The following is a 26,543-nucleotide window of genomic DNA, read 5'->3' as shown; positions in this document are numbered from 1 at the left end:
CTAAATACTATATATATCTATATCTATATATACATGTATATATAGATAGATAGATAGATATTTAATGCTGGTTTTCTCTTTAACTTGGACCTTCTAAATATCCCAATTATTGGTTTGGTGAATTTTTTTTAGTGAAAATCAGTGTCTACATGCATTTAAAAAATATTTAGTGAACATCTACTACATGTCTGATGTTGTGTAGGCACTGGGATTGTAGCAGTGATCAAGACAAAGTCTCGCTCTCGTGGAGCTTATATTCTGAGAGAGAGAGGAAATAATGTACAGTATGTCAGGAGGTAACTATTGCACTGGAAGAAAAATAAAGTTGAGTAAGCAAGAAAGGGAAGATAGGTTTGGGGAGAGAAATATTACTTTAAATAAGACACTCTGGCATAACTTATGGATAAGATGACATTTGAATAGAGACCTAGAAGAAGTGGAGAAATTAGTCATGAGGTTACCTGGGGGAAAGATATTCCAGGCAGAGGAAATACCAGAATGCGAGCAAGAGACAGACTGACTTAGTATATTAATTTGGGGAGGAATGGATGTAGAGGATAGATCAGAAGGGCTTCCTTGGGCATCATGAGGTTTGGAGCTTTTAGTTTGCAGGAAATGAGATACCAGGGAATGTGTTGAGCAGAGGAAGTATATGATTCAACATGTATAACGAAGACTTTTGTAAGCATCATGACCACTAAGGCATACACTATAAAGTTTGCTGACATTTTATCTTGTTAGGATTTTGGCTGCATAAATATAGGCTCAAAGGCATAAATATGTTAGAAAGGGTAATGATATTTAGGATTAATTGCAGTGTCTTCTTTAATATTGTCATAACATTGTTTGTGGCATAAAAAGAAGGAGAATAGGCTGGGCACGGTGGCTCACACCTGTAATCCCAGCACTTTGGGAGGCCAAGGCGGGTGGATCACGAGGTCAGGAGATCGAGACCATCCTGGCTAACATGGTGAAACCCCGTCTCTACTAAAAATACAAAAAATTAGCCGGGCGTGGTGGCGGGTGCCTGTAGTCCCAGCTACTCAGGAGGCTGAGGTGGGAGAATGGCGTGAACCTGGGAGGCGGAGCTTGCAGTGAGCCAAGATCGTGCCACTGCACCCCAGCCTGGGCGACAGAGCCAGACTCCGTCCCCAAAAAAAAAAAAAAAAAAAACAAAAAAAAAACCAGAAGGGGAATAATTTTAAAAGATAATAGTGAGGAACTACTAGCCACTTCTATGTGATTTCCTTTTATATTTTCAAGCCATGTAAATTGTTGAGGTAAATACCTTTCATCAGTTCTATTTTTATGCATAATATAACATGGGCATACACGTTTTATAAATATCAGTGGCAAAAAGACTGTTGCATGTTTAGTGACTGTTTCGTATAGGAAATGAGGCCAACAATATAAGAACTTGTGTCTGCTGCTGGAGCCCTTCCACGTTTTTTGCCTTTTTTTTCTGTACTCTGACACTGTCTTGACAGTTTTCTAAACAATCTCTTATTGATTCTCAGTGAACCTAATTCATATTCTGAGCATTCTGTATACACTGTACAGCTTGAAAATATGTAAACCTATCTTCAGAATACTAAAAAATAGTTGTACAGAATTACCAGTAATTACTAATTTTATTTTCTCTCTCATGGAATCACATTACAGAACAATAGATTTCTATTACTAATAAAAGCATCTTTCTGTATTGCAAACAAGAATGTTGAAAGTATTTGAAACCACTTTGGCAATGGGAAAAAAGAATACATGCTTGGCTTTTAAAAGTTATAATGACTTTTAATTTAACTTCGCTGAAAACATTTTGATTCAGGGCTTGGTCCTATAAACATTGGGTTTCATTTTGGAATAAGTTTAGAGAATCGGCACCAGTATCTATTCCAGCCCTGATGATTTCTGTATCCTCAAGGAAGTCTTTTTCTCCTCTGGACCTTGGTTTCCCCAAAGATAAAATGAAAAGATTTGATTCTAAGATTTTTTTCTATATCTAAAACTGTATGAAATATCTACAAATTTTTAAAAGGTCAAATATCTTTTGAGGGGAATGGGAAATTTTACAATAAGATTATGTACATGAAATCACTGTATAATAAGCTGCTATTATAAGAGTAAGATAATGACCACTCTAGTGTATTCTAAAGAAATATTCTAAAGGAAATACCTTTCATCCATTTGAAAAGAAAGCATGGTTTTAGATTTCTGCCTGAGGGGTGAGAGATTCAGAAGGACCAAAAGCTACATAGCTCTCTTTCCCAGGCCAGGCTTGGTACATACCAGCAGGTGGTAGTTACAAACACTGATGCATGCTGGGAAGGTAACCTTCCCCTGCCCCTCCACAGACCACCCACCCCAGAATGGAATGTGTTCCAGACTCAGGTAAGTCAGGTGTGTAATAGAGCAGAGTGGGGGAAGGGAGGAGGTTGCTTGCACACATTGCCCAAAGGACAGGCCCTTGGCCCAGCAGCTGTGCTGAAAGTAAGTTCAAACTCAAGTGTTGCTCTATAAGCAAATATCAGAACTCACTCACATAAGTGCATATTTCATGCATATTAAAGGTGTCCCAAAAGAGCAGGCTGCTCACAAGTGAGCTATTTTACCTCTGGCAAGTAACAGTGATACCTAACTAGACATAAGACAGCAGTGCAGTATACTGCTTTGAATAAAATGTCATTTACAGTATAGATACCTTCTCCTTGAAGTTTCTTTTTGTCAAATCTCATTTTTAAGACAAGAAGGTCTTTGGGAGGCTAAGGTGGTCGGATTGCTTGAGGCCAGGAGTTTGAGACAAGCCTGGCAAACATGACGAAACCCTATCTCTACTAAAATATTAGCTGGGCCTGATGGCACACACCTGTAATGCCAGCTTCTTGGGAAGGTGAAGCATGAGAATTGCTTGAACTGGGGAGGTGGAGAATACAGTGAGCAGAGATTGCACCACTGCACACTAGCCTGGGTGACAGAGCAAGACTCTATCTTCTTAAAAAAAAAAAAATCATTTTGTCTCACTGAAGATGAGCCCCTCCTTACCTTAATTCTGGCAATTTTGAAATTCTTTTCTAGATGAAGCATTGGTTTTCTATTACAACATTCCTGTAAAATAACTTAAACCCAGCAAAAGAAAAATCTATACAAAGGGACAAGGAGAATTTCTGGGACCATTTGAATAAAATGTCCTTTGAGACAGACCAAAAAATCTTTTACCGAAGGTTCCAAGCGAAAAACACTGTTTTTAACAATGAAAGGGCCAATCTAAATGAAAAAATGAAATTTTCTATGAAAAAAATTTGCTTCGGTGCTTGAACTGGATGTGAGGCTCAGTGAGACTGTTGGAAAATAGGAGATCATGGTGAGAAAGTAGGACTGTTCAGTAGAGTAAAGGCCTTTAGACCTGGGCCTGAGATCCTAGGATTTGGCCCAGCAAGCCTGACAAGGGAGATTTGCCTAGTGCAGGGCCACAAGGATTCTTTGTGTAACTGCTAGATTGTTATAGAAGTTTCTCCATTTGTGTTTACTTTATGAGCAACTGACAAAATGGTGTTTGTGAAATTAAGCACAAAGCCCCCAGTGAGACAGAAAATCAAAAGTTGCCGGTCAGCTGTAGGCAGAGAATATAACAATAGTGTAAAACTGTATATCTGATTTGCTTTACATTGAGCTTATTTTCTTGGGGCAGATGAGGAGGTAACATTTGGTCCCCAAACCACATTTACAGTTTCTAAATAATGAGATTAGTATGTTTCACCCAGAATTATCCCAACAGCCCATAAATATATTCTTAAATTTTTTTTTTTTTTTTTTTTGAGACAGTCTCACACAGTCGCCCAGACTGGAGTGCAATGGCACGATCTCGGCTCACTGCAACCTCCGCCTCTTGGGTTCAAGCAATTCTCCTGCCTCAGCCTCCCGAGGAGCTGGGATTACAGGCACCTGCCACCATGCCTGGCTAATTTTTTGTATTTTTAGTAGATACAGGGTTTCACCATGTTGACCAGCATGATCTCTGTCTCCTGATCTCGTGATCCACCCACCTCGGCCTCCCAAAGTGCTGGGATTACAGGCGTGAGCCACTGTGCCCGGCCCATTTTTCTTTTTTATATTATTCCTTCTGTTTCTATAAACCAAGAAACCACATCTTGTTACAGTTTTATGAAATTAGAATCTTTAGGGTCTGGACAAAAGCCTGAGGATGAGCAAAGCATCAGTCTGCTCCCTTGACTATGTATGTGTTAGGTACTCAAATGTTAGATGAGCAAGTGTTTAAATAAATGACATCAATTTTATTATCTCAGAAGTCTTTTTTATTTCCTGTTGACTCTCAACTGTATTTTTAAAAGTTCCAGTTACTGGATAAAAAAACTTCTAGATAAATGAAAGATTGCTAAATATGACATGCATACATAGTGTTTTATTTGAAATACTTCATGATGAAAAACAGTACAAGGTTGTTGGAGAAAAAGGAATATGAAAATTTGTGATGAATGAAGAACCCTGACATTACCTAGAAGTGTATTACTCATATTCTTTGTGTAGTGTGTAAAAGAAAAAGAAAGTTGTATTTTAGAGGATTTATTGAGTTAATTTTAGAATATGGCCAGTTGAACACATAAATTACATTCTCTCTGTCGAGAGGCCTTACTAATATTCTAGTAAATAGATGAAAGTTATAAACCCTCAAAGAAAGAGCACAGGAAGGAAAGGAAAGCAAGTATTTTTTTTTTCAATCTGGAAAGCACATGATTGAAAGACAGTTGCCCAAACTAGCAAAACGCCAGAAGAAAATTTGTGCCACAGAATCCTAGCAGGGCTCAAGAATTAGAGTTACTGGCTATCTCAGAAAATGAGGGTGCACGGGGGCTGCAAAGAGGGGAATTGGTTGAAAGTCTAAATAAAAGGCAGTTTAGGTGCCCTGGGTGCCTTAGAACCTACCTACTATATGTATAGCCAAGTGACTGCCATTGCCCAACCCTCAGAGAAGACACCAGTTTCAATCAAAGTTAAATAGAACATGGGGACAACCAGGCACAGCCATACAAAAACAAAGTGATTTAGTGAAAACACATTCTCAGAACAGTAAGATACTGAGCCCCCTTCTCCAGTGAACCTCTGAAAATGGGCACCATGTTATACACTCCAGGTTTGCGGAGGATATATGATTTCATTCTGTGTCATGAAATTAACTGTCCCAGGACAATAGACTTATAAATATTAAAAGCTGGGATCTCCCAGCAGAAAAGTGTGGTCTCAACCTAATCACCCAAATTGAAACTCCTCACACAGAAGTTTGTATTCAGCTTCTGTTTGATTAGATCCAGATTGTGATACACTGATATATTCATTCATCAATCTTAAATATGAACAAAAAGCCCAAGATTACTACATATTTGAGGAAAGCCTCCAACTTGAAATACAGAAAAACCTCAAACAAAACAGAGACCATGTTAGAAACAAAAAAAAAATCTTTTAAAAAGTATAATTTCACAAAGATGAGAAGATATTGCATCCATGAAATAAAAACAAGACACTACCAAAACATATAGAAAGCCAAAAAGAGCTCTTGAAATTTTAAAATATAATTGATGAAACAAAAAAAGTAATAGGACCAGAAAATAAGGAAGTCTCCAAAGAAGCAGGAAAAAACATAAAAAGATGAACAGCCAGAGAAAAAGTATTTTCCAAATTAGAAGCTCAGTCTAGGTTCAAAATCCATCAGAAGGCCGGCTGCAGTGGCTCACACCTGCAGTCTCAGCACTTGGGGAGGCCAAGGTGGACAGATCACCTGAAGTCGGGAATTCAAGACTAGCCTGGCCAACATGGTGAAACCCTGTCTCTAATGAAAATACAAAAATTAGCCAGGTGTAATGACGCACACCTGTAATCCCAGCTACTCAGGAGGCTGAGGCAGGAGAATTGCTTGAACCCAAGAGGCAGAGGTTGCAGAGAGCTGAGATCGTGCCACTGCACTCCAGTCTGGATGACAGAGTGAGACTCTGTCTCCAAAAAAAACAAAACAAAACAAAAAATCCAACAAAGAAAATGAATGGGAGGAAATTAGCAAAGAAATAATGCAAGAAATTTTCCCAGAAATGAAACATAAAACTTTCAAGTTGAAAAGACCACTGAGTTTTCACACAATAAATAAAAGAAAATCTATACCAAGGTACAGGAAATCAGCCATAAGAAGATTCTAAGTTTCTGGAGTTTCAAAGTTCTACAGGGCGTGCACTGAAGTATTAGGAATTAGAGACTTCTAAACAGCCATGCTTGAAGTGGAAAACAATGGAGCAATCCTTCAAAACTTAAAGGATATGGGTTCCAACCAAGAATCCTATATCCAGCCAAACTATCGATAAAATGTAAGGATAATAAAAGATATTTTTAAACATGCAGAATCTCAAAATGTTTCTTCCCATGCACTCTTTCTTAGGAAGTTGGTGGAGTAGACCCTACACCAAAATGAGAGAACTGTATGGAAAGAAAAGGAAGACATGTGATCCAAGAAATAAGGGCATCTAACCTAGAGCTGTGTAGTAGGCCTAGAGAGCTACCAGTCTAGGTTAGAGAAAGAGGGTGGCTGATTTCAGGAAGAATGTCTCCTTTGGAGAAGGAAAAAGAATCAGGAATCACTGATGTATATGAACTTGACAGGAAATTTCATTTTGACAAAAAAGATAGACAATTAGTGATACATAAATAGGAAATTCAACATATAGGGAAAAATGATTATCTCAGTGAAACCAAAAATTTTGGACAAAAGGGTAAATATTAAGTAGATTAGCTGTGAATATTTGCATAGTCATAATAGAAAAAACAATAACTATTACTATGCAGTCGATAGTGCTGTTTAACAGATGTTCTGATTCTTTCTCTCTTTCCAAGTACATGATAGGATGACATTTCCTGGCTCCCTTTGTGGTTGGGTGGACTGTGTGACTAGTTCTGGCCAATAAGTTGCTTGTTTTTGCTAAAGATCCCCCTTTTGGATCCAAGTGATCATTTATTCCTCTATCTTTGGTAGAACTGATACAGATAAACAGTGAAAATGAGGCAAAGGCTGGTTGTCACCAAGTAAGTACATTTGTGGAATTTAATATTTTACCAAATATTGTCCCATTCATCTTCTTAGTTGAACTTCAGAGTTGTCCTGGGAGCTAGGGAGATACAGAAAGCAAGGAACTTGTCTCAGATCATACACTGCAGAGCCATGGTCCAAGCTCCAACGTTTAATAACCACGTTACTTGTAAACTATACACAAAGAGAGCTGAGTGTGGCATTATGTACTAGGGAAAGAACTATTTTGCCATTTTGTAGTAGGAAATGCAAATTTCATCCTGATAGAGGAATTCAGGTTAGATTTTTTTAATACACTGTAATAAGAAACAGTGCTGTCATTTTATCTATTTTCTGAGTTCATTTAAATTTTTAATATAATTTATTAAGTATTGAATACTTACAGCATGCCTGTGCATGTTCTAAGCATTTTATATGTATCAGCTCATTTAATAATCACAAAAATTCTATGATACAGGTACTCTCATTATCCTTGTTTTATAGATGAGAAATTGGAATTTTGAAATAGTAACCTTATCCAGGGACATCAGGTACTGAGGGTAAAGCTCAGATTTGAACTTGCAGTCTGATTTCAGAGCCAACACTCTTGAACATTTTAGATTGTCAAAATTACTTATGATTCCAGAAATGTTCTAAACTGTCTCTGCCCATTTTTGGTGGTTTTATTGAAACATATTTACTGTACTTTTTTTTCATCTAGGTTTATGTTCCAGATGAAAATAATACTATTTTGGGGAGAAATACAAATAAACAAGTTTTTGAAGGCTTGACAACTGGACTTCTCAAAGTCAGTGCTGTGGTTTTGGGCTGCCTGATTGCCAATCGACCAGATGGAAACTGCCAGCCAGCTACCCCAAAAATACCAACACAGGAAATGAAAAACAAACCCTCACAAGGTGATCCTTTTAACAATCGAGTTCAGGACCTTATCAGGTAAAATTGCTAGAGTTCTTAAAACTTTGTTCTTTGTTAAGAAACTATATTAAAATAATTTAAATCTCAAGGCCCATGTGATGGCAGTGGTTCTCACAATGCCATTCACACATTCCTGGTAGAGAATACCAAGAATACCTTGTAAATATTTCTCAGATTTATCACCTTCACTCCATTGCTGCTATTAATACTTTACTTCAGATATTCAGGCTCTTTTGCAGCAGCAGACAGCACGTCTGTCTGTCTGTCCCCCACCTTTTAAAAATAAGTTCTTTTTCCTAATTATGAAAGTAATACATGCTCAATGATAAACACAATTTGGAAAACACGGAAGAGCACAATGGATTTTTTAAAACAGTTTTGTAGAGAGAAAGAAAATTCTCTCTTGACAGGAAATTTCATTTTGACAAAAAAGATAGACAATTAGTGATACATAAATAGGAAATTCAACATATAGGGAAAAATGATTATCTCAGTGAAACCAAAAATTTTGGACAAAAGGGTAAATATTAAGTAGCAATATAGGTAGAGCTCAGGTATCATTCTTGGTTGTTTTTTTGTTGTTGTTGTTGTTGTTTTTTCTATCACCCAGTCTGGAGTGCAGTGGTGCAGCGCAACCTTGGCTCACAGCAACCTTCGCCTCCTGGGTTCAAGCAATTCTTCTGCCTCAGCCTCCCAAGTAGCTGGGATTACAGGCACATGCCACCATGCCTGGCTAATTTTTGTATTTTTAGTAGAGATAAGGTTTCACCATGTTTGCCAGGCTGGTCTCAAACTCTTGACCACAAATGACCCACCCGCCTCCATCTCCCAAAGTGCTGGGATTACAGGTGTGAGTCACCACACCTGGCTTTTCTTGATATTTAGATATGTGATGTTAGAATGTGTTCTGCTAGAGCTTTTACAAGTTTCTTGATGTCAACTCTTTCCAACTGAAGGAATTTCTGAGAATTCCCCTATCTCAGTTCATCTCTGGTTATAAATTAGGTTCAGACTTAAAACAACAATAATAGCTACCATTTATAGAGTACCCATTATAGTATAATACCTTACACCTAGTAGGTTAACCTTATAGGGTTATACCTATAGTATAGTATAGTAACCCCTTTAAGTGTAAGGTATTGTAGTAGAGGCTTTGCAGCCCTGTAAGTGTAATATTTCTAACTTAAGCTTTGTAGGTGAGGAAATTGCTCAGAGAAGTTAAGTACTTAGCCCAAGGTTATGTAATAAACAAGATTAAAAGTAGGTAGGAGAGCTGAGAGTGGAATTCATGTCTAGCTGGACTCCCAACACCTGTATGCTTTCCACTACACAAATGTGGCAATTTCTGACACCTGTTCAAGGTCAGCCCTGTTTCCTTCTAAGGTCACCTTCTCTCCAGGGAAATTTACTCCTACTTTGGCATCTGAACTCATTTACCCTCGTTAATTTTTTATTTCCCAACAGAGTTTCATCTGGTGTTAATCAATTACCTGTTCCACCTATCAGCACCTCTTCTGTGTTCTGCACTGATCTCTGGCTCCCCAAATCCATGCAATTTGTTGCTCTCTGAAGCTTATGGTTGGTTAACAGGAGAACAAGAATGCACTCCTCTGTATTTGCTTCTTTCGCAGTTCATAAATTTCTTCTGCTTTCTTGTAGTGCTTTCTTGGGAACAGTTGTTTCATTCAGTAGCTTCCTTACCCTTGATTACTTTGTTCACTTACCCCTTCTATCTGCCTGTCCTCTTTCCTCAAGTGTATTTATTACTGGAGAGCACCAGGCCCTTTGGGCCACAACCATTTATCTTACAGCACTTGACTTTTAGCCTCCCTGGCCTTTCTCTCAGTTGCTTGATCCCATTCAATTCCCCATGTCCTTTTGGTCGTTGTAGAATTTGCCCTCTCTGCTGACGAATGTCATTCTGTCCCTGCATTCTCCCTTGGGCTACCCTGTGATGCAGCAACCCTGCATGCTTGTCATCCAGACAACTTAGCCACATGCCTTAGCTGTGATGAAGCGGAAGATCCATTCAAATGCTTCATTGCAATTCCAGTGGGCCTTCCAGGGGGAAATACGTACATTTTCACATACATTATTATAATTACCAAATCCTTCTTTTAATACCTTCCTTTAGGAGGTATTTTTCCCCTAATACCTTCCTCCTTTAGGAAGGAGCAGTGGTAATCTGCCAAACCAAATAACTCATGTGACTTAAAAATGATGATTGACAACCATACTGCTTCAAAAAATACCATGCCAGTCTTTCTCTGATTTGAACCACTGTTGTTGAATATTGTTTTCTTACAGATAATGCATTGTTATTTGGCTTGGTGAGGACTGTGTAAAACTGCAAACCATATTTCACATCTGCCTAGTTTAGCAAACAAAGCATTTTTTTTTTTTTTTTTTTTTTTTTTTTGCTAATCATTTTCATACTTGCCTTCTCACCTTCCCAGATATGAACTGACAAGAAGTCTCACTCCACTCCCTGTTACAATCTGGGCATTTTTGTCAGTTGTGAAGTTGAGTAGAAAGGGCTCCAGTACAGTCGTTGGAGCTGTTCTCTGGCTGTATCCCTGAAGTAGAGCAGGAGCAGATTCTGACATCTGTCCCTTCCTTCCCCTTATCTGGCATAGGAGAGGTAGGAAGATATCTAAGAGACATGAGATCATTACAGTATTTATTCTTATTATTTTATTTGTTTCAGTCAAGTTTCTGCATCTAAGCCATTCTTGGAAATATTTTTCAATTCAAAGTATGGCCACCCATACTAATTTTGTGCCAGACACTGTAGAAGGATGTGTCAAAAATTTAAAAAGACTTTTACAGCATATCCAACTAATTTTATTTTACTATTAGACATCTGAATTTATTTCATTTTTAATTTTTTTCATTGGCACATTGTAACTGTATTAGTCTGTTTTTACACTACTGTTAAAGACATACCCAAGGCTGAGAAAAAAAGAGGGTTCCACATGGCTGGGGAGACCTCACAATCATGGCAGAACACAAGGAGGAGTAAGTCATGTGTTGCATGGGTTGTGGCAGGCAAAGAGAGAGCTTGTGCAGGGGAACTCCTCTTTGTAAAACCATCAGATCTTTTGAGACTTATTCACTATCACGAGAACAGCATGGGAAAGACCTGCCCCCATGATTCAGTTACCTCCCACCGGGTCCCTCCCAAAGCACATGGGAATTCAAGATGAGGTTTGGGTGGGGATGCAGCCAAACCACATTATTCCACCCCAGCCCCTCCCAAATCTCATGTCCTCACATTTCAAAACCAATCATGCCTTCCCAACAGTCCCCCAAAGTCTTAACTTATTTCAGCATTAACTCAAAAGTCCATAGTACAACATCTCATCTGAGTCAAGGCAAGTCCCTTCTGCCTGTGAGCCTGTAAAATCCAAAGCAAGTTAGTTACTTCTTAGATGCAATGGAGGTACAGGCATTGGGCAAATATACCCATTCCAAATAGGGGAAATTGGCCAAAACAAAGGGGCTACAGGCCCCATGCCAGTCCAAATCCAACAGGGCAGTCAGATCTTAAAGCTCCAAAATGATCTCTTTTGACTCCATGTCTCACATCCAGGTCACACTGTTGCAAGAGGTGGGTTCCCATCGTGTTGGGCGGCTCTGCCTGTGTGACTTTGTAGGGTATAGCCCCTCTCTTGGCTGCTTTCACGGGCTGGCATTGAGTGTCTGCAGTTTTTCCAGGCACGTGGTGCAAGCTGTCAATGGATCTACCATTCTGGGGTCTGGAGGACAGTGGTCCTCTTCTCACAGCTCCACTATGCGGTGCCACAGTAGGGACTCTGTGTAGGGGCTCTGACCCCACATTTCCCTTCCACACTGCCCTAGCAGAGGTTCTGCATGACAGCCCCTCCCCTGCAGCAAACTTCTGCCTAGGCACCCAGGCATTTCCGTACATCCTGTGAAATCTAGGTGTAGGTTCCCAAACTTCAATTCTTGACTTCGGTGCACCTGCAGGCTCAACACCACATGGAAGCTGCCAAGGCTTGGGGCTTCCATCCTCTGGAGCAACAGCCCAAGCTGTATCTTGGCCCCTTTAGCCATGGCCAGAGTGGCTGGAAGTCAAGGTACCAAGTCCCTAGACTGCACAGAGCAGGGGAGCCCTGAGCCTGCCCCACTAAACCATCTTTTCCTCCTAGGCCTCCAGGTCTGTGATGGGAGGGGCTGCCATGAAGACCTCTGACATGCCCTGGCGACATTTTCCTCATTGTCTTGGGGATTAACATTCAGTTCCTTGTTACTTATGCAAATTTCTGCAGTCGGCTTGAATATCTCCTCAGAAAATGGGATTTTCTTTTCTATCGCGTAGTCAGGCTGCAAATTTTCCAAACTTTTATGCTGTTTCCCTTTTAAAATTGAATGCTTTTTAACAGCACCCAAGTCACCCCTTGAATGCTTTGCTGCTTAGAAATTTCTTCTGCCAGATACCCTAAATCATCTCCCTCAAGCTGAAATTTCCACAAATCTCTAAGGCAGGGGAAAAATGCCGCCAGTCTCTTTGCTAAAACACAGCAAGAGTCACCTTTGCTCCAGTTCCCAACAATTTCCTCATCGCCATCTGAGACCAGCTCAGCCTGGATTTCATTGTCGTTACCATTATCAGCATTTTTGGTCAAAGCCATTCAACAAGTCTCTTAAGAAGTTCCAAACTTTCCCACATTTTCCTGTCTTCTTCTGAGCCCTCCAAACTGTTCCAACCTTTACCTGTTACCCAGTTCCAAAGTCACTTCCAACATTTTCAGGGAACTTTTTAGCAGAGCCCCACTCTACTGGTACCAATTTACTGTATTAGTCTGTTTTCACACTGCTGATAAAGACATAACCAAGACTGGAAAGAAAAAGAGGTTTAATGGACTTAAATTTCCAGATGGCTGGGGAGGCCTCACAATCATGCTGGAAAGCAAGGAGGAGCAAGTCACAACTTACGTGGATGGTGGCAGGCAAAGAGAGAGTTTGTGCAAGGGAATTCCTTTTTATAAAAAGCCACCAGATCTCGTGAGACTTATTCTCTATCATGAGAACAGCACGGGAAAGACCTGTACCCATGATTCGATTGCCTCCCACCAAGTCCCTCCCTCAATACATGGGAATTCAAGATGAGATTTGGATGGGGACGCTGCTACACCATATCAGTAACTATACAAACTTACTGAGTACATTTTGATGTTTATATATATATATATATATATATATATAGTATAATGATCTGATCAGGATACCTATTGTGTTCATAACCTCATACATTTGTCATTTGTGGTAAGAACATTCAGAAGCCTCTCTTCTAGGGATTTTGTAATATACAACACTTTACTGTTAACCGTAGTCACTCTACTATGCAATAGAACACCAGAATTTATTCCTCCTATTTAATTGTAGCCTTGTACCCATTGACCAACCTCTCTTCCTCCTCTCTTCTTCCCCCAGCCCCTCCTCAGCCTCTGGTAACCGCTGGTGTACTCTCTGCTTCTGGATACCAACTTCAACTTCTCGTTATAGATTACACACTTGAGTGAGATCATGCAATATTTGTCCTTCTGTGCCTGGTTTATTTCACTTAACATAAAAACCTCCAGGTCCATCCATGTTGTAACAAACCTCCAAGTCCATCCATGTTGTAAAAAAGAAAGATTGCATTCTTTTTTATGGCTAAATAGTATTCCATTATGTGTGTATAACACACTTTGTCCCTTAATCCACTGAAGAACACTTAGGTCGACTCCATATCTTGGCTATTTTGAATAGTGCTGCAATAAACATGGGAGTGTAGATACCTCTTTGACATGCTGGTTTCATTTCTTTGGATTTATAACCAACAGTGGTATTCCTGGATCATACAGTAGTTCTATTTCCATACTTTTTACATGATGGCTATACTAGTTTACAATCCCACCAACAGTGTTCAAGTGTTTCCTTTTCTCTACATCCTCACCAATGTTTGTTTTATCTGTTTTGTTTTGTTTTGTTTTGTTTTTTGAGACACTGTTGCCCAGGCTGGAGTGCAGTGGCATGATTATGGCTCACTGCAGCCTCAACCCCCCAGGGTCAAGCAATCCTCCAAAATCAGCCTCCCAAATAGATGGGACTACAGGTGCAAACAACCACACCCAGCTAATTTTTTTTTTTTTTTTTGAGATGGAGTTTTGCTCATGTCACCCAGGCTGGAGTTCAGTGATGCGATCTCAGCTCACTGCAACCTCTGCTACCCAGGTTCAAGTGATGCCCCTGCCTCAGGCTCTTGAATAGCTGGGATTACAGGCACTTGGTACCACTCATGGCTAATTTTTGTATTTTTAGTACAGATGGGGTTTCACCATGTTGGCCAGGCTGGTCTAGAACTCCTGACCTCAGGTGACCCACCAGCTAATTTTTTAATTTTTTTTATAGAGACAGGGTCTCATTATGTTTTTCAGGCTGGTCTTGAATTCCTGGGCTCAAGCAGTCCTCCCACCTCAGCCTCCCAAAGTGCTAGGATTACAAGCATGTGTGACTGTACCCAGCATCTTCTTTTGTCTTTTTGATAATAACTATTCTAACTGGAGTGGGCTGGTATCTCATTGTGGTCCTAATTGGCATTTCCTTGATGATTAGTGATGTTGAGCATTTTTTCGTATACCTGTTGGCCATTTGTATGTCTTCTGAGAAAAGTCTATTAAGATCTTTTGTCCCTTTTTGAATTGGGTTATTTAGTTTTTCACTGTTGAGTTATTTAAGTTTTGTATATATTCTAGATATTAACCCGTTATCAGATGTATAGTTTGCAGATATTTTCTCCCATTCTGCAGGTTGTCTCTTCACTCTGTTAGTTAACTTTGCTGTGTAAAAGCATTTTAGTTTGATATAATCCCCTTTGTCTATTTTTTTGGTATGTTAATTGTGGTTTTAAGATCTTATTTTTAAACTCCTTGCCTGACTCAATCTGTGAAACATTTCCTCTGTGTTTTCTTCTAGTACATTCATAGTTTCAGGTTTTACATTTACATTTTTAACTTATTTTGAGTTGGTTTTTGTATTGGTGAGAAGTAGGGTTCTAGTCTCATTCTTCTGCATGTAGATACCCAATTATCCCAGCACGGTTTATTGAAGAGACTCTCATTTCCCCATTGCATGTTCTTGGCAGCTTTACCAAAAATAAGTTGGTTGTCAGTGCATGAATTTATCTCTGGACTCTTTATTTTGTTCCATTGGTCTATGTATCTGTTTTTATACCAGACCCATGGTGTTTTGATAACTATAGTTTTGTACTACATTTTTAAGTCAATTAATATGATGCCTCCAGCTTTGTTCTTTTTGCTCAGGATTGCTTTGGCTATTCAGGCTGTGTTTTGTTTTGGTTCTCTATGAATTTTAGGATTGTTTTTTTTGTGTGTGAAGAATGTCATTGGTATTCCGACAGAGATTGCATTAAATCTGTAGATTGCTTTGGGTAGTATAGCCATTTTAACAATATTAATTATTCTAATCCATGAACACAGGATATTTTTCCATTTATTGGTGCCCTCTTTCTTTTTATAAAAAAAAATTCTCGGGCAGTTCCAAGATGGCCAAATAGGAACAGCTCCAGTCTACAGCTCCCAGCATGAGCGACGCAGAAGACGGGTGATTTCTGCATTTCCAACTGAGCAAATGGCACACCAGGAGATTATATCCCGCACCTGGCTCAGAGGGTCCCACACCCATGGAGCCTCACTCATTGCTAGCACAGCAGTCTGAGATCAATCTGCAAGGCAGCAAAGAGGCTGGGGGAGGGGTGCCCGCCATTGCTGAGGCTTGAGTAGGTAAAGCGGCCAGGAAGCTCGAACTGGGTGGAGCCTACCACAGCTCAGGGAGGCCTGTCTGCCTCTGTAGACTCCACCTCTGGGGGCAGGGCACAGCCAAACAAAAGGCAACAGAAACCTCTGCAGACTTAAATGTCCCTGTCTGACAGCTTTGAAATGAGTGGTGGTTCTCCCAGCATGTAGTTTGAGATCTGAGAAGGGACAGACTGCCCCCTCAAGTGGGTCCCTGACCCCCGAGTAGCCTAACTGGGAGGCACCCCCCAGTAGGGGCAGACTGACACCTCACACAGCCGGGTACCTCTCTGAGACGAAGCTTCCAGAAGAACGATCAGGCAGCAACATTTGCTGTTCAGCAATATTCGCTGTTCTGCAGCCTCCGCTGCTGATACCCAGGCAAACAGGGTCTGGAGTGGACCTGAGGAAACTCCAACAGACCTGCAGCTGAGGGTCCTGACTGTTAGAAGGAAAACTAACAAACAAAGGACATCCACACCAAAACCCCATCTGTACGTCACCATCATCAAAGACTAAAGGTGGATAAAACCACAAAGATGGGAAAAAAACAGAGCAGAAAAGCTGAAAATTCTAAAAATCAGAGCACCTCTCACCCTCCAAAGGAACGCAGCTCCTCATCAGCAACGGAAAAAAGCTGGATGGAGAATGACTTTAACAAGTTGAGAGAAGAAGGCTTCAGACAATCAAACTTCTCAGAGCTAAAGGAGGAAGTTCGAACCCACTGCAAAAAAGCGAAAAACCTTGAAAAAAGATTAGACGAATGGCTAACTAGAATAACCAATGTAGACAAGTCCTTAAGTGACCTGATGGAGCTGAAAACCGTGGCACGAGAACTATGTGACACATGCACAAGCTTCAGTAGCCGATTCTATCAACTGGAAGAAAGGGTATCAGTGATTGAAGATCAAATGAATGAAATGAAGCGAGAAGAGAAGTTTAGAGAAAAAAGAGTAAAAAGAAATGAACAAAGCCTCCCAGAAATATGGGACTATGTGAAAAGACCAAATCTGCGTCTGATTGGTGTACCTGTAAGTGACAGGGAGAATGGAACCAAGTTGGAAAACACTCTGCAGGATATTATCCAGGAGAAATTCCCCAACCTAGCAAGGCAGGCCAACATTCAAATTCAAGAAATACAGACGGCCACAAAGATACTCCTCGAGAAGAGCAACTCCAAGACACATAATTGTCAGATTCACCAAAGTTGAAATGAAGGGAAGAATGTTAAGGGCAGCCAGAGAGAAAGGTCAGGTTACCCACAAAGGGAAGCCCATCAGACTAACAGCTGATCTCTCAGCAGAAACTCTTCAAGCCAGGAGAGAATGGGGGCCAATATTCAACATTCTTAAAGAAAAGAATTTTCAACCCAGAATTTCATATCCTGCCAAACTAAGCTTCATAAGTGAAGGAGAAATAAAATCCTTTACAGACAAGCAAATGCTGAGCGATTTTGTCACCACCAGGCCTCCCCTACAAGAGTTCCTGAAGGAAGCACTAAACATGGAAAGGAACAACCGGGACCAGCCACTGCAAAAACATGCCAAATTGTAAAGACCATTGATGCTAGGAAGAAACTACATCAACTAACGAGCAAAATAACCAGCTAACATCATAATGGCAGGATCAAATTCACACATAACAATATTAACCTTAAATGTAAACGGGCTAAATGCTCCAATTAAAAGACACAGACTGGCAAATTGGATAAGAGTCAAGACCCATCAATGTGCTGTATTCAGTAGACCCATCTCACGTGCAGAGACACACATAGGCTCAAAATAAAGGGATGGAGGGAAGTCTACCAAGCAAATGGAAAACAAAAAAAGGCAGGAGTTGCAATCCTAGTCTCTGATAAAACAGACTTTAAGCCAACAAAGATCAAAAGAGACAAAGAAGGCCGTTACATAATGGTAAAGGGATCAATTCAACAAGAAGAGCTAACTATCCTAAACATATATGCACCCAATACAGGAGCACCCAGATTCATAAAGCAAGTCCTTAGAGACCTACAAAGAGACTTAGACTCCCACACAATAATAATGGGAGACTTTAACATCCCACCATCAACATTAGACAGATCAATGAGACAAAGTTAACAAGGATATCCAGGAATTGAACTCAGCTCTGCACCAAGAAGACCTAACAGACATCTACAGAACTCTCCACCCCAAATCAACAGAATATACATTCTTCTCAGCACCACATCACACTTATTCCAAAATTGACCACATAGTTGGAAGTAAGGCACTCCTTAGCAAATGTAGAAGAACAGAAATTATAACAAACTGTCTCTCAGACCACAGTGCAATCAAACTAGAACTCAGGATTAAGAAACTCACTCAAAACCGCTCAACTACACAGAAACTGAACAACCTGCTCCTGAATGACTACTGGGTAAATAACGAAATGAAGGGAGAAATAAAGATGTTCTTTGAAACCAATGAGAGCAAAGACAAAACATACCAGAATCTCTGGGACACATTTAAAGCAGTGTGTAGAGGGAAATTTATAGCACTGAATGCCCACAAGAGAAAACAGGAAAGATCTAAAATTGACACCCTAACATCACAATTAAAAGAACTAGAGAAGCAAGAGCAAACACATTCAAAAGCTAGCAGAAGGCAAGAAATAACTAAGATGAGAGCAGAACTGAAGGAGATGGAGAAACAAAAAACCCTTCAAAAAATCAATGAATCCAGGAGCTGGTTTTTTGAAAAGATCAACAAAATTGACAGACTGCTAGCAAGACTAATAAAGAAGAAAAGAGAGAATAATCAAATAGACACAATAAAAAATGATGAACGGGATATCACCACTGATCCCACAGAAATACAAACTACCATCAGAGAATACTATAAACACCTCTATGCAAATAAACTAGAAAATCTAGAAGAAATGGATAAATTCCTGGACACATACAGCCTTCCAAGACTAAACCAGGAAGAAGTTGAATCTCTGAATAGACCAATAACAGGCTCTGAAATTGAGGCAATAATTAATAGCCTACGAACCAAAAAAAGTCCAGGACCAGATGGATTCACAGCCGAATTCTACCAGAGGTACAAGGAGAGCAGGTACCATTCCTTCTGAAACTATTCCAATCAATACAAAAAGAGGGAATCCTCCCTAACTCATTTTATGAGGCCAGCATCATCCTGATACCAAAGCCTGGCAGAGACACAACAAAAAAAGAGAATTTTAGACCAATATCCCTGATGAACATCAATGCAAAAATCCTCAATAAAATACTGGCAAACCGAATCCAGCAGCACATCAAAAAGCTTATCCACCATGATCAAGTGGGCTTCATCCCTGGGATGCAAGGCTGGTTCAACATATGCAAATCAATAAATGTAATCCAGCATATAAACAGAACCAAAGACAAAAACCACATGATTATCTCAACAGATGCAGAAAAGGCCTTTGACAAAATTCAACAACCCTTCCTGCTAAAAACTCTCAATAAATTAGGTATTGATGGGTCGTATCTCAAAATAATAAGAGCTATCTATGGCAAACCCACAGCCAGTATCATACTGAATGGGCAAAAGCTGGAAGCATTCCCTTTGAAAACGGGCACAAGACAGGGATGCCCCCTCTCACCACTCCTATTCAACATAGTGTTGGAAGTTCTGGCCAGGGCAATCAGGCAGGAGAAGGAAATAAAGGGTATTCAATTAGGAAAAGAGGAAGTCAAGTTGTCCCTGTTTGCAGATGACATGATTGTATATTTAGAAAACCCCATTGTCTCAGCCCAAAATCTCCTTAAGCTGATAAGTAACTTCAGCAAAGTCTCAGGATACAAAATCAATGTGCAAAAATCATAAGCATTCTTATACTCCAGTAACAGACAAACAGAGAGCCAACTCATGAGTGAACTCCCATTCACAATTGCTTCAAAGAGAGTAAAATACCTAGGAATCCAACTTACAAGGGATGTGAAGGAACTCTTCAAGGAGAACTACAAATCACTGCTCAATGAAATAAAAGAGAACACAAACAAATGAAAGAACATTCCATGCTTATGGATAGGAAGAATCAATATCGTGAAAATGGCCATACTGCCCAAGGTAATTTATAGATTCAATGCCATCCCCATCAAGCTACCAGTGACTTTCTTCACAGAATTGGAAAAAACTTTAAAGTTCATGTGGAACCAAAAAAGGGCCCGCATTGCCAAGACAATCCTAAGCCAAAAGAACAAAGCTGGAGGCATCACGCTACCTGACTTCAAACTATACTACAAGGCTATAGTAACCAAAACAGCATGGTACTGGTACCAAAACAGAGATATAGACCAATGGAACAGAACAGAGCCCTCAGAAATAATAACACACATCTACAACTATCTGATCTTTGACAAACCTGACAAAAACAAGCAATGGGGAAAGGATTCCCTATTTAATAAATGGTGCTGGGAAAACTGGCTAGCCATATGTAGAAAGCTGAAACTGGATCCCTTCCTTACACCTTATACAAAACTTAATTCAAGATGGATTAAAGACTTACATGTTAGACCTAAAACCATAAAAACCCTAGAGGAAAACCTAGGCAATACCATTCAGGACATAGGCATGGGCAAGGACTTCATGTCTAAAACACCAAAAGCAATGGCAACAAAAGCCAAAGTTGACAAATGGGATCTAATTAAACTAAAGAGCTTCTGCACAGCAAAAGAAACTACCATCAGAGTAAACAGGCAACCTACAGAATGGGAGAAAATTTTTGCAATCTGCTCATCTGACAAAGGGCTAATATCCAGAATCTACAAAGAACTCAAACAAATTTACAAGAAAAAAACAAACAACCCCATCAAAAAGTGGGCAAAGGATATGAACAGACACTCCTCAAAAGAAGACATTTATGCTGCCAACAGACACATGAAAAAATGCTCATCATCACTGGCCATCAGAGAAATGCAAATCAAAACCACAATGAGATACCATCTCACACCAGTTAGAATGGCGATCATTAAAAAGTCAGGAAACAGCAGGTGCTGGAGAGGATGTGGAGAAATAGGAACACTTTTACACTGTTGGTGGGACTGTAAACTAGTTCAACCATTGTGGAAGACAGTGTGGCAATTCCTCAAGGATCTAGAACTAGAAATACCACTTGACCCAGCCATCCCATTACTGGGTATATACCCAAAGGATTATAAATCATGCTGCTATAAAGACACATGCACACGTATGTTTATTGTGGCACTATTCACAATAGCAAAGACTTGGAACCAACCCAGATGTACATCATTGATAGAGTGGATTAAGAAAATGTGGCACATATACACCATGGAATATTATGCAGCCATAAAAAAGGATGAGTTCATGTCCTTTGTAGGGACATGGATGAATCTAGAAACCATCATTCTCAGCAAACTATTGCAAAGACAAAAAACCAAACACCGCATGTTCTCACTCATAGGTGGGAATTGAACAATGAGAACACTTGGACACAGGAAGGGGAACATCACACACCGGGGCCTGTCATGGGGTGGGGGGAGCGTGGAGGGATAGCATTAGGAGATATACCGAATGTAAATGGTGAGTTAACGGGTGCAGCACACCAACATGGCGCATGTATACATATGTAACAAACCTGCACATTGTGCACATGTACCATAGAACTTAAAGTATAATTTTAAAAAAGTCTTCTTATAGTTAACAACGTAGAGATATTTTATCTTGTTAAGTTTATTCCTAGGTATCTTATTTTTATTATTACTATTGTAAATGGAATTGCTCTTTTGATTCTTTTTCAGATCATTCACTATTAATGTATGGAAATACCACTGATTTTTGTATGTTGATTTTTGTATCCTGCTAATTTGGTGAATTCACTTATTCTAAGAATTATTTGGTGGAGTCTTTAGGATTTTCTGTATGTAAGATCATGTGCCAGGCATAGTGGTGTGCATCTGTAGTCCCAGCTACTCAGGAGCGCAGGAGACTAAGGCAAGAGGATCTTGAGCCCAGGAGTTTGAGACCAGCCTAGGCAACATAGACCCCATCTCTATAAAAAAAAAAAAAAAAAAAAAGGAAAAAACATCTATAGAGGGGTGAAAGTGGGCATCCTCGTCTCATTCCTGATCTTATGACATTAGCTGTGGGTTTGTCTTAAGTGACATATTGTGTTGAGGTATGTTCCTTGTATACTGAATTTGTTGAGAGTTTTTTCAATGAAGGAATGTTGAGTTTTGTCAAATTGTTTTTCTGTATCTCTTGAAATGATCATAAGGTTTTTGTCTTTCTTTCTGTTCATGTGGTGTATCACATTTATTGATTTCCATATGTTGAACCATCCTTTCATCCCTGGGATGAGCCCCACTAATTACAGTGAATGATCTTTTTAATGTGTTATTGAATTTAGTTTGTTAGTATCTTGTTGAGAATTTTTGCATCTGTGTTCATGAAGTATATTGGCTTGTAATTTTCTTTTGTTACATGTTTGTCTGGTTTTGAAATCAGAGAAATGCTGGCCTCATAAAATAAGTTCCTTCCTCTTTAATTTTGAGAGGTTTAGTTTGAGAATTAGTATTAGTTCTTTTTTTTTGAGACAGAGTTTTGCTCTTGTTGCCCAGGCTGGAGTGCAATGGTACAATCTCGGCTCACCACAACCTCCACCTCCCAGGTTCAAGTGATTCTCCTGCCTCAGCCTCCCAAGTAGCCGGGATTACAGGCGTGCACCACCACACCCGGCTAATTTTGTATTTTTCGTAGAGACAGGGTGTCTCCATGTTGGTCAGGCAGGTCTCGAATTCCTGACCTCAGATGATCTGCCCACCTTGGCCTCGCAAAGTGCTGGGATTACAGACATGAGCCACCGTGCCCGGCCGAGAATTAGTATTAGTTCTTTAGTTCTTTAAATATTTAGGAGAATTCAGCAGTGATAACTTCAAGATCCTGGACTTTTTTTTCTTTTCTTTTTTTTTTTTTTTCTTTTTGAGACGGAGTTTCACTCTTGTTGCCCAGGCTGGAGTGCAATGGTGCGATCTTGGCTCACCACAGCCTCCGCCTCCTGGGTTCAAGCGATTCTCCTGCCACCTGTAGGTGGGTCCTAGGGTGTTGGTTGGGTACCGTGTGTTGGCTTTGGTTCTGAGTGGACTTAGTAGCATGGTCTGTGTACAGTTTCTTCAACTGTAATTCTCATCAGCAATGTCTGTGATTGCCTCAATAGCCTAGGCTGCAGGAATTTGAATAATCACAGACACTGTAGCCTAGGGGCAGTGGCACTGGGCTGGTTGTTGGGCCAGGTACATGTTCGTGCAGAGGTCTGAGACACTATCTGGCAGACTCTCCAGAAAGGCACATTTGTGCAGAGGTCTGAGACACTACCTGGCAGACTCCAGGAAGGCAGCAGCCACAACCAGGCTGGCTTCAAGACTGGGTTCAGGCATGTGCAGGTGTGGCCAGCTATGTGGCTCTGCAGTAGTCTCTCTGGGGAGGCAGGGCCATCACTGATCCAGCTCTCAGGCCAGATGTGGGCACAGCAGGCCAACCAGCTGTTTGGTGGCTTCACCACAGTGCAGGTTTGCCTGTTCCATTGTTGGGTGGGATGCCACCTGGGTTCAGACACTGGCACCTCAGTAATTTTGTCTGGCCTAGGATCCAGCCAGCTACAGTTATAGTGATGCAAGCACCCATGTGAACATGGTGAAATGATGGCAGGGCCTCAGAGATGGAGAGAGTCAGTTGCTACTGGCCCCCAGGGCAGGACATAGTCTACCAGTGGGTCTGGTTCCGAGATGATCTGTGCTGTGACAACTTAGGTTACAGATGTGGGGAGTGCCCAACATGGGATCCTACTCTGAGAGAGTTCAGGTTTACAGATTCCCAGCTACTCTCCAAACTAGATTTGGGTCCTATGAGTACTGGGAGATTCTCCTGTAGCAAGATTTGCTGGCATTTGTGGTGGCAGTGAGGACTGCTGGGAATCTCCAGCTTACTTTTTCCCTGTAAGAAGTCCTCCCTGACTCTGAGCTAATGCCAGCAGGGAAGACAGTGTGGCAGAGGCAGGATGCCTTACTCCCCTGTCTGTGGTGGTATCCTGGGCTTTAATGTTCCACAGGGATTTTGCTGCCCCTCTAGTATTATCCAATGTACTTCTTCCATCACTACAGTCAAAATATCATTGTTTGCTTGTTGTTTTGGTCACTTCCTGTTGGGGTGGAGGGGGACAACCACCAGGCAACTCTAATTGGTCATCTTGCTGACACTCCTTGACCACATTAATCTCTGAAAAAAAATTTTTTTTTTTGAGACGGAGTCTTGCTCTGTTGCCAGGCTGGAGTGCAGAGGCGCGATCTCGGCTCGCTGAACCCTCCGCCTCCCGGGTTCAAGCCATTCTCCTGCCTCAGCCTCCCAAGTAGCTGGGACTATAGGCGCGCACCACCACGCCCAGCTAATTTTTGTATTTTTAGTAGAGGCAGGGTTTCACCATGTTGGCCAGGATGGCCTCGATCTCTTGACCTCGTGATCCGCCCACCTCGGCCTCCCAAAGTTGTGGGATTACAGGCATGAGCCACCACGCCTGGCCACCAGCCTTTTAGAATCTAAGTTATCAAACATAAGACATGTATTCAAGGAGAAATTTTAGCCTAGCACTTTCCTGGCCACCAGACCCTGACCACATATCTAGCCACCAGGATGTACCACAGGTACCTCAGACTCCATAGTTCAAAGCTTAATACATTATCTGTCCACCCAAAGGAGCTCCTCTTCCTGTGTCCTCTGACCTTATCAATGACAGCAATGTCCTATTAAGTTACTTAAGCTAGATCTCTCAGTCTTTTACCAAACCAATATTCAGTTAATCCTCCAGCACCTATTGATCCTGCCTTGTAAATACTTTTCAAAACTCTCACCCTCACTCCATTGCTATTTCTTTACTTCAGGTGTTCAAGCTGTCTTGCAGCAGCAGATGATGTATCTGTCTCTCTGCCACCACCTTTTAAAATAAGTTCTTTTTTCTAATTATGAAATTACTATGTGCTCAATGACAAAAATAATTTGGAAAACACAGAAGAGTACAGTTTCTTGTTTTTTTGTTTTTTTAACACACACAGACTATCTTTAATTCCACCACCCAAAGATAATTACCGGGTTTGTGTTTTTTAGTGTATATATATGTAGTTATTTTATTTAAATATAATACCTATAAATACTCTTTTATAATGTGCTTTTTTAAACTTTATTTTTTATTTTTTTAGAGACAGGGTGTGTGTGCTGTCACCCAGGCTGGAGTGCAGTGGCATGATCATAGCTCACTGTAACTCAACTCCTGGCCTCAAGCAGTCCTTCTGCCTCAACCTCCAGAGTAGCTGGGATTACAGGTGCAAGCCACCACACCCAACATATCATATACTTTTTTAATTCACTTTTTCAAGTCAGTAGAAACTTGCAAATTAATTTCTACTGGTTTTCCAAGTATTTCACTACTTAGGAATGATTTGCTTCAGGTAACCTATTATTACACATGTAAGTGTATTTTAGTTTTTTACTTTTTCAGATAACACTGAAGAACATCTTTGTATGCTCTTCTTTTCCTTTTGTTTTTCTATTTTCATACAATTGATTATTTTCTTATGATAGATGTTGAAAAGTAGAATTTCTGGGTCAGAGAATATACCTTAAGAATTTTGATCCATATTGCCAGATTGACCTACACAAAGAGTACCCATGAGTATGTCCTTGTACCCTCAACCTAGACAATATTGGGTATCATCATTCTTTTTAAACCTTAGCCAAACTGAGAGATGAAAATATTTAACTTTTTTTTTTTTCTTGAGATGGAGTCTCGCTCTGCCACCCAGGCTGGAATGTAGTGGTGTGATCCCAGCTCACTGCAACCTCTGCCTCCTGGGTTCAAGTGATTCTCCTGCCTCAGCCTCCTGAGTAGCTGGGATTACAAGCATGTGCCATCTCGCCTGGCTAATTTTTGTACTTTTTTTTTTTTTCTTTTAGTAGAGGCAGGGTTTCACCATATTGGCCAAGCTGGTCTTGAACTCCTGACCTCTAGTGATCCACCTGCCTCGGCCTTCCAAAGTGCTGGGATTACAGGCGTGAGCCACCGCACCCAGCCAGTATTTAACTTTTATATTGCTAGTGATGGGGAATATTTTTTAATGTTCACTGGCCATTTTTACTATTTTGTAAGTTGCTTCCTTATGTACTTAGCCCATTTTTCTACTATTGGAGGTGTTGAAATGTTTATAAAAATTATTTATATATTCAGAACATTAACCCTTCATCTTAATATTGCAAATGCTTTTTCACACTTAGTCATTATTGCCATTTTTAATATTTAAATTTTCTATTATTTTATTATGAAATACTGTCAACATACACAAAATAAAATTATAGATATCTGTGTACCAACAATTGTTAACTGATAAGATTTTCCATATTTGTCTTAGGTTTAGACCTTTTCCCTGTTGTTAAGAAACCAACTGTTGCAGATACAACTGCCTCCCCCTCCCCTTCCCTATCTTTTCCCCTTACTCTCTCCCAAGTGGTATATCACTGTTAAGAGTTTGTGTATATCATTTCATGTATTTTTTATATGTGTGTATGTGTGTGTATCTATCTTCATAAACAACATATTCTACTTTTAATCGTTTTTTAAATTTACGTAAATGCTATGATATTATTTTGCCAATTGTTATTTTTATGCAATTAAACATAACATGTTTTAACTTTTTTATATTTATTTATGTTGATTCATAT

At 40.2% G+C, this 26,543-nt stretch overlaps 1 protein-coding gene across 20 annotated transcripts in view, besides 1 other annotated feature; it reads left to right on the top strand.

Annotated features, from left to right (window-relative positions):
• SCAPER (S-phase cyclin A associated protein in the ER) overlaps positions 1–26,543 on the top strand; it is a 557,437-nt gene that overhangs the window by 463,249 nt on the left and 67,645 nt on the right. For 18 of the 20 annotated variants that reach the window (XM_017022273.2, XM_011521653.4, NM_020843.4 and 15 more), the window contains one exon: positions 7,782–8,014. In XM_017022273.2, the coding sequence (XP_016877762.1) occupies positions 7,782–8,014 (233 nt within the window). Of the gene's footprint in view, positions 1–7,027; positions 7,078–7,781; positions 8,015–26,543 lie in introns of those variants that run through there. The other 2 variants (NR_148227.2, XM_047432629.1) reach the window with 2 other exon arrangements.
• Positions 7,174–8,373: an enhancer, noted in NCBI's record as "BRD4-independent group 4 enhancer chr15:76726060-76727259 (GRCh37/hg19 assembly coordinates)". NCBI's record gives its function as "activates an origin of replication core promoter dependent on BRD2, P300/CBP, MED14 and CDK7 cofactors, and independent of BRD4, by STARR-seq in HCT116 cells {active_cell/tissue: HCT116}" and the evidence as "EXISTENCE:reporter gene assay evidence [ECO:0000049][PMID:35650434]".

The sequence above is a fragment of the Homo sapiens genome, chromosome 15 (assembly GCF_000001405.40).
Source record: "Homo sapiens chromosome 15, GRCh38.p14 Primary Assembly".
In the NCBI taxonomy this organism is placed as follows: domain Eukaryota; kingdom Metazoa; phylum Chordata; class Mammalia; order Primates; family Hominidae; genus Homo; species Homo sapiens.
The sequence above is the reverse complement of the archived record's forward strand: the minus strand, read 5'-3'. Positions and strand labels throughout refer to the sequence as shown.